This window comes from Homo sapiens, chromosome X (assembly GCF_000001405.40).
Source record: "Homo sapiens chromosome X, GRCh38.p14 Primary Assembly".
NCBI classification, from domain to species: domain Eukaryota; kingdom Metazoa; phylum Chordata; class Mammalia; order Primates; family Hominidae; genus Homo; species Homo sapiens.
In genome coordinates, this window is record NC_000023.11 from 19,530,488 (window position 1) to 19,548,782 (window position 18,295).

The 18,295-nt window shown below is 46.0% G+C and overlaps 1 protein-coding gene across 31 annotated transcripts in view; it reads right to left on the reverse strand.

Annotated features, from left to right (window-relative positions):
• The window catches only part of SH3KBP1 (SH3 domain containing kinase binding protein 1), a 353,624-nt gene continuing 338,818 nt past the window's right edge, over positions 3,490-18,295 (reverse strand). For 18 of the 31 annotated variants that reach the window (NM_031892.3, NM_001353891.2, NM_001410756.1 and 15 more), the window contains 4 exons: positions 15,435-15,563; positions 11,438-11,706; positions 7,230-7,293; positions 3,490-5,971 (listed from right to left, as the gene is read on the reverse strand). In NM_031892.3, coding sequence (NP_114098.1) covers positions 5,930-5,971; positions 7,230-7,293; positions 11,438-11,706; positions 15,435-15,563 — 504 coding nt within the window. In that variant the 3' untranslated portion in view covers positions 3,490-5,929. The remainder of the gene's footprint in view (positions 5,972-7,229; positions 7,294-11,437; positions 11,707-15,434; positions 15,564-18,295) is intronic. The other 13 variants (NM_001353890.2, NM_001353892.2, NM_001410757.1 and 10 more) reach the window with 1 other exon arrangement.

Sequence of the window (18,295 nt, forward strand, 5' to 3'; positions counted from 1 at the left end):
AATTCATGTCCTTCTCCTCTTTCCAGATTCACTTCCTCCAAGAAGACTGCCCTGATTGAGAACAAAGAACATTTTCTGAGAGCTGCCTTGGGATGACAGCAGGGAAATGAGCAGGCATTTCATACAGGCATCCGTTTACTCCCTATTCATCTATTTCCCTTCGGCATTCAAGGGCAGAGCTTCAGCCCCAGCCAAATTCTTGGTTTTCTCAGATTGACTCTAAGAAATATTCATGAAGCTTGAAAAGAATCTGCTGTATGTCTCCTAAGACATCGCTGTTTGTTTTTTTTTTTTTTTTTTTTTTGAGACAGGGTTTCACTCCAGTCACCCAGGCTGAGGTGCATTGGCACAATCTCGGCTCACCGCAACCTCCACCTCCCAGATTCAAGCAATTCTCGTGCTTCAGCCTCCCACATAGCTGGGATTATAGGCGTGCACCACCATATCCGGCTAATTTTTTGTATTTTAGTAGAGACAGGGTTTTACCATGTTGGCCAGGCTGGTTTCGAACTCCTGAGCTCAGGCAATCCACCCACCTTGGCCTCCCAAAGTGCTGAGATTATAGGCATGAGTCACCTCGCCTGGCCAGACATCTCTGTTTTTCTTTGGGGGAAATAACCTTGGAAATGTTATTGATTTCTTCATGTTTTTTCGTTTGGTTTCAGGATGGCTTTTACCAGCTGGGTTAGTTTAAAATTTGGTTTGTAAATCCCTTAAAACTTTCGTTTTTATTTGTTTTTTTGAGACAGAGTATCAGTCTGTCACCAGGCTGCAGTGCAGTGGCGTGATCTTGGCTCACTGCAACCTCCCCCTCCCAAGTTTAAGTGATTCTCCTGCCTCAGCCTCCCGAGTAGCTGGGACTACAGGCGTGTGCCACCATGCCCAGCTAATTTTTTTTTTTTTTTTTGTATTTTTAGTAGAGACATAGAGTTTCACCATGTTGGTCAGGATGGTCTCGATCTCTTTGACCTCATGATCCGCCCACCTCAGTCTCCCAAAGTGCTGGGATTACAGGCGTCAGCCACCATGCCCGGCCCTTTTTTTTTTTTTTTTTTTTTTTTTTTTGAGATGGAGCTTCGCTCTTGTTGCTCAGGCTGGAGTGCAATGGCGTGATCTTGGCTCACTGCAACCTCTGCCTCCTGGGTTCGAGCGATTCTCCTGTCTCAGCCTCCTGAGTAGCTACGATTACAGGCGCCCGCCACCACACCCAGCTAATTTTTGGTATTTTTAGTAGAGACTGGGTTTCACTATGTTGGCCAGGCTGGACTTGAACTCCTGACCTCAGGTGATCCGCCCTCCTCGGCCTCCCAAAGTGCTGGGATTACAGGCGTGAACCACCGCGCCTGGCCTTTTTTTTTTTTTTTTTTTTTTAATAGAAGCTATAATGAAAATTTGCATTTCCAGGGCACCTTCCCATCAAAGAGCTCAAAGCTTGCAAACAAATCTTAGCTTTCTGGAGAACTGGTAATATTCTATGGGGTGGGTGGGAACAGGGAGCATTCAAGACTAAAATGACATTGTTACATAATTATCTGCATAATTTAATTAAACTTGTTGCCACTTAAAGAGAACAGCTCCATGAAGCTGGTTTGCCAGGAATTCAGTTTTTTTATTTTTGTTTTTGTTTTCTTTTTCCTCAGAAAATTCTAGCTACAACCTACTACATCACCTTGTTCTGTTGTTTGGTTGAAATAAGTTATCACCTATTGCTCCAACAAGAAAAAAGGAAGAGCCCATTTTATTGTGAATTCCAAATTCACAAACACAATGAGCACCCCGTCATTTGTGGGAAGGGGCTGCCCCCACAGCCACTTCAATTTGGGATCAATTCAAAAGACATGAAATAGGCCGGGTGCGGTGGCTCACGCCTGTAATCCCAGCACTTTGGGAGGTCGAGGCGGGCGGATTACCTGAGGTCAGGAGTTCGAGACCAGCCTGGCCAACATGGTGAAACCCCATCTCTACTAAAAATACAAAAATTAGCTGGGCATGGTGGTGGGCGCCTGTAGTCCCAGCTACTCAGGAGGCTGAGGTGGGAGAATCACTTGAACCCGGGAGGTGGAGATTGCAGTGAGCCAAGATTGCACCACTGTACTCCAGCCTGGGTGACAGAGTGAGACTCCACTTCAAAAAAGAAAAAGGGCATAAAGTAAAACCACCATGTGGGAACCTGTACTGACTTCATGGATTCTTGTCAGTTGCACAGGCTGCCTCTGCTCCACATGTTGGGAACCAAGCCTTGGTGACCCTAGGAATAGGACTAGGAGTGACAGGAAAAGTTCATCCCCTTAAGAGACCTGGTCCCTGCCTGTCCTTACACCACTGATATTTATTTCTGGCTTGGCCATTGTGCTCCTTCACTCGTGCTAATTTTGGGCACAGCATCTTCTTCCCTGGGCTTAGGTCCTAAGTGCCAAGGCTTCCCTCTGTCGGATGCCACAATCAGTCACGCTGAATGCCGGTCACCCACGCATGCGTGCTTTGTTACGGTTCTTGTTTGTACAAAATCAAAGAGGGAAGCTTTCACCAAGCCCCCTTGGTGCCAAAACATCTCGATGTTAATTTGTGCTAAAATAACTAGAGGACTAAAACCTAATCTCATACCACAAAAAGGAGACCAGGATGACCTCGCGTTACAATACAAAGGCCTTTGTGGGACCTGGGGATTATTTTTATACAGACAGTGGCAAATTTGAGCAATAAATTATACATCCTGCAGTTTTCCCATCAAGGAGCGGGTTATGAAAGGAAAGAAAACCCTGCCACTAATAAGCAAAGACACGTGTGAGGATACATACAGGATGTCCTTATGGAAGAAAACAAATCATGTACTTGAGTGTGCCACCTAGAGGACTGTGTGTGAATAAAAGTGGCTTGGCCAGGTGCGGTGGCTCATGCCTGTAATCCCAGCACTTTGGGAGGCCGAGGTGGGCAGATCACCTGAGGTCAGGAGTTCGAGACCAGCCTGGCCAACATGGCGAAACCTTGTCTCTCCTAAAAATACAAAAATTAGTTAGGCGCGGTGGCGGGCACCTGTAATCCCAGCTACTGGGGAGGCTGAGGCAGGAGAATCACTTGAGCCCGGGAGGCGGAGGTTGCAGTGAGCAGAGATCACATCATCACACTCCAGCCTGGGTGACAGAGTGAGACTCTGTCTCCAAAAAAAAAAAAAAAAAAAGTGGCTTTACACAGTTATTTGAATAATGATGACTTAAAATTTTTTACACTAAAAAAGAATTTATACCTAACTGGCATTTTCTGATTAGATATGAGTATAAAACTGAACAATTTAAAAAACAGAATTCACAGGCACAGATTTCACAGATTATTTCTGTTCACTTGGGAAAGATGGGGGAGAGGCACTATATTCCATGTCTTCTAAAGATATTTCTATAAGAGAAATCAAATTGTATAAAGTGGAGAAAAATGGTATTCCAAAAAAAAAAAAAAATCATTCCTCTTGGACCATGACAACTTTGAACAAAACTATTCTCACAAAATTTCATTTTAATCATCTTCTTTACAAAGCACAATACTTAAGACTTTTCTAAATACAACTTTATAAAATGAAGCAAAAAAATAATCTCCATAGATGCCTGGTCGAGTCCATGCTGAATGCAAAATAATTTTTTTTTTTTTCAAAAGTGATACTTCCAAGCTTTTCAACATTCTCGATGGGTCCATTTTGTAAAGAGTAAAGATGGTGGCAGTTTGGGTAGCGGCTCGTCCAGTTCCTTGATGCAGAATCCTCTTGCTGGGTAGCCCGAGGGGCCGCAATGAAGCTAGACATACCAACTTCTCCTTCCAGAATCACTTCTCCCTCTCCTTATACAAAGGAAGCCAATGGCCTCTATGAGGGGGAAGACATCAGCTCTCTACATTCCATGTTGCCAGTGTTCCATGAGGGTGTTCCAACCGCTCAATTTCATCAACAATCCTACTCTGTATACACATTATATAAAACTATATAATTAGGGATTTTCATAAGTAAATGAGAAATTTGAACATCAAAGAATCCAATCTGCATTCTTAGATCATTAGGTCGTGGGGAATCTCTGGAATCTTCAAGTTTAACGCAGAAATGCTTATAACTGTCAAGGGGTACAGGGATGTTTTACGCTGCTCTTGGGAACCTGGCACTCCTGACCCCAAGCACACTGAACCCGAGGCTGCTGAAAAGGCAATATATCCAGGGATGGGAATGGAGGGTATGAGGTTTCCTTCCTTATACACTCCCTTCCCTTAATTATGCCCCCACCCAGGAAGACCAAGGTGTTTGGGCTCCTTAAATACTCGGAGGGAAATAACAGCCTCAAGTAGCAAGGATGAGCACATAGGTTAAGAGGAAGGCAGGGGGAGGAAGGGAGGAAGAGAAAGGAAGAGACATTTATTTGTAATACTATCAATGATCAGTAATGTGATTTTTTGTTTTTGCATCACTTCTTCGGTATTATCAACTCTCATTCTTTGTGGCTGTGCAAATCTATTAATGTTTAGTAGTTTCACTATTAAACTCAGGAAAGAGACAAAGCAGCTTTTGAGAAACACATCCAACATCTTCAGGGGCCATTAAGGGACCACCCCCTCCACCCCTACCCCTGAACAGTCTCGCAATACAGTAGGCCCCTCATTTTCAGCTAAGGATGAGAAAACAGTTACATAGTCTAAGGCTGAACTGTTCATGTACTACAAAGATAAAGCGGACAGGCAAACATCAGTTTCCTTGGGAAAGAAAAAGCAACTCCATAAATGCAAGAAAGTTCCAGTGGCTACACTTCAACATGACCCTCCTCCCATTCTCTTGGACCTGAGGAAGGGGTTACAAGTGAGCAAGGCAAATGACATTATGTGAATACAGTTTAAACGATAACACACACGGGTAACCCAGTGCAGGAAATAATACAACTTTCCCTCCCTTGTTTTCATTTGCATTTTACTTTTATTTATTTTTGCTTTAATAATGCATATTCTGTTCACGCAAAAGGTGCAAAGGACAGAAAGCAGGGGTTTAACTTGGCTGATGAAAAATCAAGCAGGATGACATTTCTAGTTTCATGAACAACCTAAAACTAGGAGAAATAGAAAAGTCACAGCTGGTACCACAGAGCACGCCCAACTTCACAGCTGTCTCCTCTTAGGACCTTTGGCTAGGGTGAGAGAAGCTTTGAAGACAGTGGCCTCTAGTGGACTTGGATAAGTGGCAGATTTTTTTTTTTTAATTTTTAATTTTTTTGAATCATGGTAGCTGCATCACAAAAGCTCCAATCAAGAGGGTGGTAAAAAGAAGGCACAGATCATTGCAAATACCAGATTTTCTCTTTCTCTTTTTGTAAATATACCGTCATATATAAGCTAAAATTTCTCTTAGGGTGGTGGGGTTTGCTGGCAGGGAAAGGGACAGGTTGAACCTACAATTGCATATGTAATAGAATCCTAATGGGGGGACAAAGAGCGAGGCAGCTCTTAGCCTGAAGCAAAAGAAAAGGACACTCGCTTCTGACTACGTGTAGTACAAACACTAGGGAAGTCTGTGACAAAACACGATTAAAAAATCATAAAATTATAAAGCTTGTAAACGAATAATCTGAAATTACATTTTATTAATGGAAAATATCATCAAAATAGTACCACTATGGACTAAACTGCCTGAGTTTTCATTTCGCATTGAGATCTCAGAGTAGAAAAGCCTTTAGCACAATTTTGCTCTGTGTAAGTCACAACGAGTGCCAGCCCCAGGACTAAACCCTGGGGAAGATTCTCCTCTTGGATGGAATTTGTGTTGTGCTATCAAGACTTTTGTGCTAATCTTTCAAACAGGGACATTTTGAGGCAAACCTTTAATCTTTTGGCACAAGATTATTTTGGCTGGGGCAGAAAATTTGAGTCTCGGACTCAGGATGAATAATGTGACATTTCATTGATCAAGTATTCATTTTGATTGTAGAGCTTTCTTTATGTCGTTCACTTCCATCTAGAAAGAGAAAAATAAGAATGGAACAAAGTCATAATGAATCGGCTGGTTTTATAGAAGCTGAAAGATTATCAACCCGGTCGACTGAAAGAAAACAATCAATCTGACAATTTTAAAGGTGACATGACATCTGAATAGACAATCAACAGCAATGCCAGAAGTGACATCAACACAGAACAGGCACACAGACACGAGGCACTAGGAAATGGTGCACATTTTGATTCTCAGGCTGCCAGGCTGCAAAGTTTGTCAAAAGCAGCAATAATTCCAGTTTCTTAGCCAGAGGGTAGAGCAGGCGGTCCTAACAGGCGGGGCCATCTGGCAGTGTTGGAAGGCAGCTGTGGTTGGCTCAAGGGGGTGTCTGTCAGCACCCCCAAAATGATGGCAAGCAGCTACCTATCCTTTGTTAAGCAGCATGGGTCCCCATCACCACAAGGGCGCCAACTGGATGAAAGCTGAAAGTCTACCTTCGGTCAATCAGAACTCCCACGCATTCTCTGCCATTTGGTAACAGCAGTGTTGAATCAGAGGCTACAGGGGACAGAGCTCTAACGCCCTGGCAGGACAGAAATGGCCATCACTGAGAAATCAAGAGCAAATGCCCCCGAACATGGACAGCTGTGGCCCCTGGAGCCATAGTGACCACATATAATGAGGCCTCTTGGAAATGGAGGTGGGAGAGGGGCTTTTCGCAGAGATGTTTAAGATAAATTCCAGGCTGGGTGCCGTGGCTCACACCTGTAATCCCAGCACTTTGGGAGGCTGAGGCAGGAGGATCACCTGAGGTCAGGAGATCGAGACCATCCTGGCTAACACAGTGAAACCCCGTCTCTACTAAAAATACAAAAAATTAGCCAGGTGTGGTGGCACATGCCTGTAGTCCCAGCTAATCGGGAGTCTGAGGCAGGAGAATCGCTTGAACCCGGGAGGCGGAGGTTGCAGTGAGCCAAGATGGCGCCAGTGCACTCCAGCCTGGGTCACAGAGCGAGACTCCGTCTCAAAAAGAAAAAAAAAAAAAAAAAGATAAATTCCAAATGAGAAACCCAATTTGGGGCACATTTCCTAATGTTTCCCTTCCCCAAGACTTCCTGGGGAAACGATATGTAGTAAGCCCATACGATTCTAAGAAGATGGTCACAGGAAATGTATCCAGATCTGCAGAGAGGTGACAATCATTTATTTTTGAAATAAAAGCCCTCACAATGTCCTGCCCCACTGAGCCTAGGACTCACGGGCAGCAGAACCCAAAGGGACGCACCTGCAACCGAAGCCGGATTTTCTTCTCTTCATCCAACTCAGACAATAACTGTTTAATCTCTCGTCTGAAAAGCAAATGGCAATGAAATTAACCAAAATCCCAGACTTCCTTCATCAGAGATCAGAAATCTCTTATTATGACTACAAAATCCATCTGATCCTTTTTTACAAAGAAACTGTGGACAACACATCATTATTTTCTTTGCATTGTTACTGCTTAAAATTTGTTTCAGACAGTAAGGCTCACCATTATTCTGGGGCCCCTAAAATATGTAGCCAGCAACTGGTGGGTGCGGAAGTGACCTCTGAAATCCCTTAGTCCAAACTTCTCTCAAAAGGATAAGATGGGGAAACAGAGGCCCAGCGTGGTGGCCTGACTTGCCCAATTACTAGACTTCACGTAACCTGTCAGAATATGACAGGTTCATATTCTGTCATCTTCCCCATAACCATTCCTTTATTACAAAATCACTGGGCTTTAAATGTACTTATTACAATTTTCTTTTTGAGACAAGGGCTTGCTCTATTGTTCAGGCTGAAGTGCAGTGGCACGATCATGGGTCACTGCAGCCTCAACCTCCCAAACTCAAGCGATCCTCCTGCCTCAGCCTCCTGAGTAGCTAGGACTACAAGCGCACACCACCATGCCAGGCCAATTTTTAAAATTATTTTTGTAGAGATGGGGGTCTCACTATGTTGCCCAGGCTGGTCTTGAACTCCTGGGCTCTAGCAATCCTCCTGCCTTGGCCTCCCAAAGTGCTAGGATTACAGACATGAACCACTAAGCCTGGCTCTTCTTGTAATTTTTATTGCAGATGTTTTTACCACTCCATATATATTTCCTTTATTTTATTTATTTATTTATTTATTTTTATTATTATTATTTTTTGAGATGGAGTCCCACTCTGTTGCCCAGGCTGGAGTTCAGTGGGGTGATCTCGGTTCACTGCAACCTCCGCCTCCTGGGTTCAAGCGATTCTCCTGCCTCAGCCTCCCGAGGAGCTGGGATTACAGGCACACACCACCATGCCTGGCTAATTTTTGTATTTTTAGTAGAGACGGGGTTTCACCATGTTGGCCAGGCTGGTCCCGAACCCCTCACCTCAGGTGATCAGCCCACCTCAGCCTCCCAAAGTGCTAGGATTACAGGCGTAAGCCACCGCACCTGGCCTATTTCCTTTATTTTCAATAGGGTTTTTAATTGCTGAAAGGTTACTGGTACGTTTTCATGGATTCTCATAAAATCCTACACAGTAAGTCCCAAAAACTTGGGGGTAAAATAATTGGAGTAATGGTATGGCAATCATGTCTTAGAGAAACTGGCATGACTTAGGATCCACGGCCTAATGCCCTTTCCAACATTAAAAATAATGAAGTGCACAGCACTAACCATCCCACAAAGTTAGGGCTCTATACTTAGGACACTGCAAGCATCCAAACACTGGGCAGAGAGCTGTCCTCCATTTTCAGGTATCCAACACTCCATTTTACATGCATATTTTTACAGACTGGATTGGAAAATCAAGAAACAAAGATGCCTGAGACACCACAGTAAAATAAGGTGGAAGTTATATTGCATTTTCTCACTTCGGATGAGCACGATGATGGTCCCTATTCTCTGGGGCAGTGTCCCAGCTCTGCTGTCAACATACTGGGTTTATATCACAACGAATATGAACCAGTTGTGATTCATTACTGTATTTATTTAAGCGCACATCATGCACCCATATCTCAGTGGGTACTACTTAGGGATTAGGAAGGAAGAAGGTGAGACTCCAAGCAAATGCTCCAACCCCAGGAGACTGGCAGGCAAAGCCTCAAGCAGTCCAGCTGTGGGGAGTTAATTGGGGAAAGCAGTCCAAAGAAAGTCACTAAGTCTTGAACTAGTGAAATGAAAATGAGCGTAAGTCTATGAGGAGGAAGAAACACAGGGGAATTGACAGAGAAAAGCCAGAGAAAAGCAGGGAGGTGAGAACCAGCTTATTTGGGGATAAGGAGAGCTGGTGTGGACTTGAGTTGAAGGCTAACAGGAAACTGACATGAAGGACTAATACAAGAGACTAGTAGGGACCCACTGACCCTGGGCACGAAGGCCAGACTGACGTAGGCAGCAAAAGGCAGGCCTTGGAAGAGAGGCCACTGTGGGGTGTTGACTCAAGAGATGTTGGCCGGGGAAAGACAATTCCCACCAACTATTTGCAGGCTTCACAGTGGGGGAGAAACATGGTGTGGCAGCCCGGAAGCACAGGGCATTTCAGATGTTGCAGGCACCTCTCATAGGGTCCAAACAGCTAAAGCCCTGAATTCAAGCCAGTCTGATGCCATGATGGTCCTGTTCAGAAGGCAAGAACCAATGCTCTGGGGTATCCTGGGGCCTCTGTGATGTCCTGTCTAGGAAAGGGACACAGGTCACCTGGACGTGGATGGGGCCTTTGGGTACCTAAATGAGTAACCTCCAGAGCCAGATAGGAGCTGGGGACTTTAAGGGGTTAGAGGTAGCCTGGCTGGCCCCAGGATTCCTTCTCAAGTACCATCTGTCAGTCCTGTATATTAATCTGATGGATCTCTTCCAGGCTGGGGTAAGTCCAAGAGGCTTCAATTCCCTCCCAGCCTGAGTGGAACAGAACCCGCTTAGAGCCACATTACTCAAAGCGAATTCCATGGAACCCTCATCCTAGGATGCTCTGGAAAAAAAAGGTTCTGTGATTAAGCAGGTGTGGGACACCTTGCATATGCTATCCTCTCCATCCTCCCAATGCAAAGCGAAGGCTCTGAAGAGCCCTTCAGAAAAGAACTTAAGTTTGCTTAACCGAGTTATCCCCCAAAAGTGACCACAAAACACATTAGGGCCCTCAAGCCACGTAGAGGGAGGCAGGTGACAGGGCTTCTGCTGACCCCAGACTGGCAGAGGGCTTCATCGCTGTAAGTCTCTGGCTGCATCTCCTGTCACCACCCCAGGCACCTCCAATCCAAGGAGGCCAGTCACCTGGGGATGTGTTGACCTCACCAGGCTGCCCCGTGTGGCCAGGAATCAACATGATGTTTTCGCTGCTGGAGTAGTGTGCTCTTGGCAATCCTAAATCATCGTTCAAAATCCTACCCGGGAAATAACTCTTTGAGATGCCTCCCTTGATTCTCTCAAGAAACAGCTAACTGATCCCTAAACTCCTCGAGCCTCAGTTTACTCAGAGCAGTGCCTCCCTACTTTTTTTTTTTTTAGACGGAGTCTCGCTCTGTCACTCATGCTGGAGTGCAGTGGCACAATCTTGGCTCACTGCAACCTCCTCCTCCTGGGTTCAAGCAATTCTCCTGCCTCAGCCTCCCAAGTGGCTGGGATTACAGGTGCACGCCACCACGCCCAACTAATTTTTTTGTATTTTTAGTAGAGACAGGGTTTCGCCATGTTGGCCAGGCTAGTCTCAAACTCCTGACCTCAGGTGATTCACCTGCCTTGGCCTCCCAAAGTGCTGAGATTACAGGCATGAGCCACCATGCCCATTCTCTACTTCTAATCCTCCTATGGGCTTTGTCATTGCAAACCACATCCTGGATGATAATGATGTATGATACTTATTTTTGTGTCCAGGTCTTTCTCCTCAACAAAGTGCTCCCTGAGGATTAGAGATGTGGCGAGAGTGTGTGTGCAGCCATGCAGGAAGAAAGACCCCCACTGCCCCGCCCCGCCCACTGCAGTCTCATGGTGAGAACATCTTACTGAGTGTAAAATCTTGGGCTTCAAGATTCCCTACATCTTCTTCATACATTACTGGTACCTCAATGCAGGCCAACTGCTTCATCTGGCAGCTAAGTGAAGAAATTGCCATTTTTCTGTTGCAAGAGGAAAAGCTAGCTGTTGAGCTTATTTAAGAAGTGGTTCATGTACATACTGTATTTTATGGGGGATTTAAATGCTTTTCTTCTTAGCAGCCTGCTGAGAGCATCAGTCCCTGCAATGGACTCATCCCTCTATGCCCCATGGCCAGCCTGTGCCCTTCCTGCACACAGTAAGTCCAGCAAAAACATGCAGCATAATTTAGGTATAAATTAAGACTCTCGGGGTCTACACGCACTCCCACCATTGCTGCCACCATCAACGGGGAGACCAGGCCCGCCCTCCAAGGCAGGCTGGGATCCATGCTTTCAGAACTAGGTGCTGGCCTGGCAGAGAGCAACCTGGGTGACGGCCCCCAAGAGTCCCCAGGCACTCACTTCTGCTGGTCCTTCATGGTCTCGATGATGCTCCTCAGCTCGCGGACCTGTGTCCTTAGCTCCTCCACGGCCGCCTGGCTGCTGGCCGCAGGCTCCATCTTTGGTTTTCCTTCCGTGCCGAACAGAGACGGGGAGTTGGCTCTGTGTCCAGCTGTTCCCAAAGAGGATGACAGGGGGGAGGGCGCCGCTGAGGACAGAGGGGCTGGCCCACCGCCACCTGCTGCCATGGTCCCCGGCTTGGGCGGCAGGGATGCTTTGTTGTCAGACACCTGTGACGAGGGAAGGCAGGGAGGGTTCAGGGCCGGGGATTTGTGTGCTGCGTCTTTGTCCTGGTTAGTCAAACTCTCCGTTAACACCACTGTCCCCGCCTCTCTCCACACACTCCATTCACTTGTTCCTTCATCCACAAGCCACCAAGGGCCTGCTTGGTACAGGCATTTCCCCCTTACTCACACGCCGCCTTCTATGTATTTTAAATGTGACCTTCTTTCTGGACAGAGAGTTTCCGACTGGTTCAATATACACATTGAGATGCCCAACTACTTGCCAGGCACCACAAACTCTGAAGTGAACAAGACATGCCTTAATAGGCATTCTCCTGGTCTCCAGGGAGCTCAGAACCCAGTGGGGCGCAGACAGACAGACAGACCAACGCACTGAGATGGGGGGACAACTGCACAGAGGGAGGTGAGCATACAGAGCCCCAGAAACACAGAAAAGGGGCCAGCCATCCAGACGGGCAGGCATCGCAAGCAGGTGCTGACAGTCCCGTCTTGGAGGAGGACCAAGAAGTAGCCAGAGGAAAGGAGGGGCACTTAGAGAAAGAAGCTGCAGCGGGAGGGAACACGCCAGGCAAAGGTCTAGAGACCGCAGAGCAAAATGCATTGGTGGGAAGTACTGCTAGACCGTCAGAGGGGGCAAGAGAGGGCCTTGGGGGCAGAGCTAAGGCTGGGAAGTACAAGCGGCTAGGCGAAAGGGTGAGAGGAGGGCACACGGTGCTGAGGACCATGCTGGCTGCAGAAAGGCTAAAGGGTTGGCAGATCTGGAGCTGGAGAGAACTGCTGGGAGAGTCTTACACAACGTAAGCTAGAAGCGGTCAGGGTTGGACCCAGGCAGTGGCTAGGAGGATAGACACAAGACAACTTTGAGTGATGTGGCGAAGGCAAGCACAGCCGACATAGAGCACCAGGCATTGTTCCCAGTGCTGGGGGCAGGAGTGGGCCAGGAGGATGGAGACCCTGCCCTCATGGAACAGACGCCTTGTGAGCAGGGAGATGTGGTCCTGGACAGGATGCAGAGGGTGGAGGAGGAAGGACAGATCAGGGACCACGGGTGTGGTGCACACACCAGGCATCGAGATTGTACCTTTCATGGGAGAAACAGCAGACTGAAGAATCAGATAATGATTTCCGTTTTTGACACATTGGATTTTAGGAGCCCTTAGTGACTGGGAAAGAGGGGAGGAAGAGGGGATGAAGCAGAAGACAGGCCTGGAGGAGAGTCCAGAAGGAACGAAGTGGTTGCATGCGTGGGTGAAGGGTGCTGAGAGGAAAACTGGGTGGAGTCCACTTGGTGGAGCCAGGGAGACAGAAAGCTGCTCCTGGCAGATGACCACCTGGATGGGAGGTGAAGGTGTGGCCTGAAAGTTTAGGACTCTCTTTCCAGAAACTTGGTTGAGGCAGGAAGACAGGAGAGAGGGAGCATGCTCATGCGGAAGCCTCAGGGGGAGGTGGGATCAGGGAAGGGTTCTGTTCACTTTCCAGGACTGGGGAGACCCTAAGCTGCATGATACGCTGAGAGAAAGAGCCAGTGAAGGGCCAGGCTGAAGGTGGAGGAGACTGGCGGGGGAGGCCTGATGGAGAAGTGTCCTGAGGAGGCCAGGAGGGCCGAGGAAGAAGGACAGTCATGGGCGAGAGAGAAGAGGGGTGCCCAGTAGGCCCCTGGGGGAGAAGGCACCAACAAGGGAGCTGGGAGGCAGGTGGCGAGGAGGGAAAAGAGTGGGACAGGATGTTGGGAGGCGGGGGCGATGAGCAGCAGGGCAGAAGTAGAGGCTGGTGGTGAAGCTTGGCAACGCGGCCGTGAGGCTCCCTCCAGCAGCAGGTACCCAGCAGGCTACCCCAGCGCAGGAGCCAAAAGGGGCTTGGCTGGCATGGCGAGGAGGCAGAGTCTGGATTCAGGCTGTGCTAGAGGGAGAGACTGGGCAGAGAAAGCCAAAAGCAGATGGGCCATCATTCCCAGCCTCTCTGCTCGCCTTTTTTCTGCCAAGTTACCATTGAGGAAAAGTGCTCTCTGCTGCCAGGAATAGCGCTCCGCCAGCCTGTGCTTTATCATTAGTAGGAGTCAGAGTAAGAGGGAAGAGGAACTGACATTTCTGGAGCAATGATCACATGCCGGACACCGGCTAGACAATTTGAGCAACGATCGGTTGGCACAAGCATTTTACCAAGCAGAAAACTGAGGCTTAGAGAAGTGGCTGAGTAGTTCCCCAAGACTCATAGGTAATAACTGGCAGAACAGGGGATCAATTCCCTATCAACTGGATCCCTCAAGTCCAGCACTGTGACTGTGGCTGCCTGAGTCTGAAGATTCGCACTCTCCTGTCCTCTCCTTTGCTTGTCATCTATTCCTGGGCTTATGCCTTTTCCTGTTGCCCATCCTGCATCCTTGCGGACCTCCCATACTCCTGTGACCCACCAGTGCCTTTGCACTGACTGACTTCCAGACACTTCTTGAATCAATGCTTCTCTTGGCATTTCCTATATGACACGCTCTCCCGGCCCATTTCGGCTACTGAGCAATTTTAAAGCCCTCACAGAGTATAGGCCACCACCCTCCCTGATCAAATTAGTTCAAGTGGAATTTCTAGAAGCACTGAAGAGCACAACATGACAACTCCGGGGAAGAGAAATAGGCTAATGGGATACAACTGTGTACATCAGAACCACGAAAACCCACTGTCCACCAGTAGATGTCACTGTAGAGACACCCCAGGGATGTCAAATGAAACTATACCTATGGTCACCAGAAAAAACGGGTCTAAATCCAACTTCTGCAGATGGAATCCTTTTATAAAGAAAGAATGCTTTGGTTTTGTGAATAATTACAACTGATCTGTTGTATAGGATCACGTTTTGCTTACTGTATCAGATTTTTAAGAAAATCTATACATGTAAATTCTTAAATCTATGGAGAAGGAAAATTCCACGGTAACCTTTGATTTCTTTGTGCTATTCCTGCTTCAAGTGACTATAGTTTTCTGCTTTTAGACAGAAAGAAGTTGCTAATATTCAGAGAAAATAATTCCAATTGACTTGGTTTTCTTAGTGGGAGAAAATGGAATTTTAAAATCTTGGTTCGTATTCACAGGGAGAGAATTTGTACAAGATGCTCCTCAAAAGTTACATGCAGTAGCTAAAAGTTAAATGTCTTCCTTGTTTCTCATAAACTAATAAAGTATCTATACTACTCTCTGGGCATGGAATAAAATTAAAGTGTTTTTAGACTATAAATTTATCATAGAATGTGACTCCAAATCAATTTTCTTTAAGAGACCACATTAGTTATTTATATTTATGATCTTCCAACTATAATTTGTGACCAGCTTTGAACATAAAAGACAAGATCTGTGGGCAGAGGGCACAGCATTTAATATATTTAATGTCTTCTCTCTAGACGTCTCACGGCTTTTTAAATTGTTCTGGTTGTGGTGATGGTGGTAGTGTGTGAAGGTATTTGTGAACGTGTGTGTGATGGTATGAAGAGGAGATCAAACCACAAGAGAACAACATGGGAAATAAACAACTGAACTTGTATCTCAGGGATTCTGCCTAGTTTCGGAGACTGCAACATGCCTTGGGGATTTTGATGAGTAACAGAATCGCTGTCACTGAAGAATGACAAACACCTGCACTGTTTGTGTATCTTTGTTTGGTTTATAACCCATCATTAGCACATGCATGAAATGACAGGGACACCCTCGCCATGGCTGGTGACTCACTTGGGATATGGTAACAGTCTTGGAAGTTTTCTTTGACGCGTCCACTCCTCTGTGCGCAAGTGAAATGTGTTCCTCCTTATCCTCTTCGGGACTTGGGGAGTCGAAGATATCAGGGCTTGAAAGGGATGACTGATAAAGCCAAAAGAAAATGCTTTTGTCAGAATTACACCTTAGCTGACACCACTTTCGTTAATATAATGCTGTATGCTTTAAAAGCACTCGACACTGCTATTTTGTCTTCTCACGATAACCCTGTGAGGCAAAAAAGTGTGCTGTTATGCACGCGCTCAAGTCACATAGCTGATTAGTGGCAGAACTGCGACTAAGAAGCAAGGTTTCCTAAACCAGGGATCTTGCCACTGATGTCCATCAATCACTTCATCCTTGCAAGCATCCATCGTCCATCCTTTCCTGCTCCTTCCTCTAAACATTTGCTACCATGTGCAAAAGCTGCAGTGAGCTTGTACTGCAGACTTAGTGACATGCCACACAGGATGCCTGCCCTCACAGGGCTGACAGTCTACCAGGGAAGAACACACAGGTCAACAAGAGGCTGCTCTAATCTGCCTCTCCTCCATTCCCTCCTCTTCCTTTTCCTTGACCTTTTCCATGATCACTAAATCTGCTGCATACGGAAGTGCCCTAAAGGATGTGTCTGAGAGAAAACCATTTCCAGGGATAAGGGCTCACCAGGCTTGTGGTCCAGTGACCAGTGTTTCCTCAGCTTGAGAGCACAGCCCTGCTCGCTAGTGCAACAAGCTCATATCTCCTTTGGTACCTGCTGCTAAATCTCTGCCCTCATTATTGCTGACAGTCAACATTCATTTTGGAGTCTGTATGGCTATAGTATATTTACAGAATGGCAGCATCTTTTGGTAAAATATAGGACGACACCCCTGTTCTTTCTGCCTCACTGTGAAGATCACTATAAAGATAAAAAAGCCAGATGAGGCCAGACACAGTGGCTCACGACCGTAATCCCAACACGGGGATTATGAGGCGGGAGGATCTCTTGAGCCCAGGAATTTGGGACCAGCCTGGGCAACATGGCGAAACTCTATCTCTACGAAAAATACAAAAATTGGCCAGGCATGGTGGTGTGCACCTGGAGTCCCAGCTACTCGGGAGGCTGAGGTGGAAGGATCACTTGAGCCCCGGAGGTCGAGGGTGCAGTGAGCCATTGACATTGCACCACTGCACTCCAGCCTGGACAAAAGAGTGGGACCCTGTCTGGAAAAAAAAAAAAAATTCTGGACCAATTCACTGGAATTCACTTGGTCATAGATGATCACTGGGCTAGAATTTCCCTATTTTAGAACAAAGCAAATTAAAATAAGAGTTCCTATAGCAAGGAATCCTTTATAATGAAGAATCTTCCACAGATCTCTTTGAGCAAGCTCATCTTCAGCTTCATCTCTATGCTTTCTACCCTGGTGGTAGAAAAACAGTCCCATTTAAAATCACCACTTGGCGTCATTATAGAAAAATTATACCCAAAAATATCGTATGTTTTCTTCTGTTTACTTAAGGCAGAAACCTAATGCATTTTAGGGAATTTTTAAGCAAATTTTTCAATTTAACAGGTTTTATTTGTTAATCTTCATTTAATCTGAAAATCCAATTACCTAGAATAACGTTTCCCCCACCACCAAGCCTTCTTATTAATCTAGGCTTAACGCTTAGCCACCATACCATGCCTGAATCCTTTCATTTTGAGATTTTATTCAAAAAGCCAGTTCCCTCCATTACAACCTAGGGTTCATGAGCTGCCAATCAAAGCTTGCTCTTTGAGTCCTATAAACATAAAGAACTTCAGCTAGGGTCAGAGGCCCCAGGCTGGGGAATCATGACTGGTGCATTTCCTCCATCATTTCCCCCAGTGGCCTTTGAGGAATACGCCCATATCCACTAAGCCTCCACTTGCCTATGAAAAATCCACAGGTGCTAACTGAAGAAGAGTAAATAGGAATTCAATGTACACATCCAAGTAGGGATGAATGGGAATGAAGAGAATATAATATTTATACTTTAAAGCACAAATATATCCTTTTGTTTTAAGTCTGCAAATGAAATCACTTCATATAAAATGCCAAACTTCAAGTCATTGTGCCGTAAGCTTCCTGCAGGCAGTGACCATGTGCTTTTCATTCCAGTTGTATCTTTGGTACCTGGCACAGTGCCGAGCCCATAGGGGATAGATGTCTATAAAGAGTTGTTGAATGAATGAACAACTGTGTAGTCTGAAGGCAGTGAAGATGATATATCCTCACCACATCCCCCAAATACATACGAACTCTCAGGCATGGGATGTATGGACCAAAGGTGGGACAAGAGATGGTAATTTAAACCTTTCTGTAATTCTGGAAGTCACAAGGCTCTCTAGACCTTGAAAAGTTGGGAAGAATTTGGAAGGAAGACAAAAATGATGAAGGATTTACAGAGAAGATAGAGGAGGTAGGATTGAAAAACAAAATATAGAGATACTAAGAGCCAACTAAACAGGTCGTGGGTATAAGAGGGGTGTTGGGGTGGGGTGTGAAGAGGTGAGAGGGAGAAGGGAAAGAAGGTGGTGTTGACAGAGACGTCTGTATAACAATAAAAAAAGTCAGCTACTTTTAAAAGTGTTTCACCCAAAAAGGTGTCAATGCAGTTAGGTTTTTCATACTAAGAGGAAAAATAGGATGACTCAAACCATACTTCCAGACTCTAGATATGAGAGAAGAGGTTCCAAGGAAGTGACATTCTTTTTCTTCTAAATGATGACACCTTAGGTGGGATCAGTGATGACATGAAAATAGGAAGTGTCCTGGGAAACCTGCAAAAGGTTAATTCCTTGGTTTATCTGGGTAGAGGTTATAAGG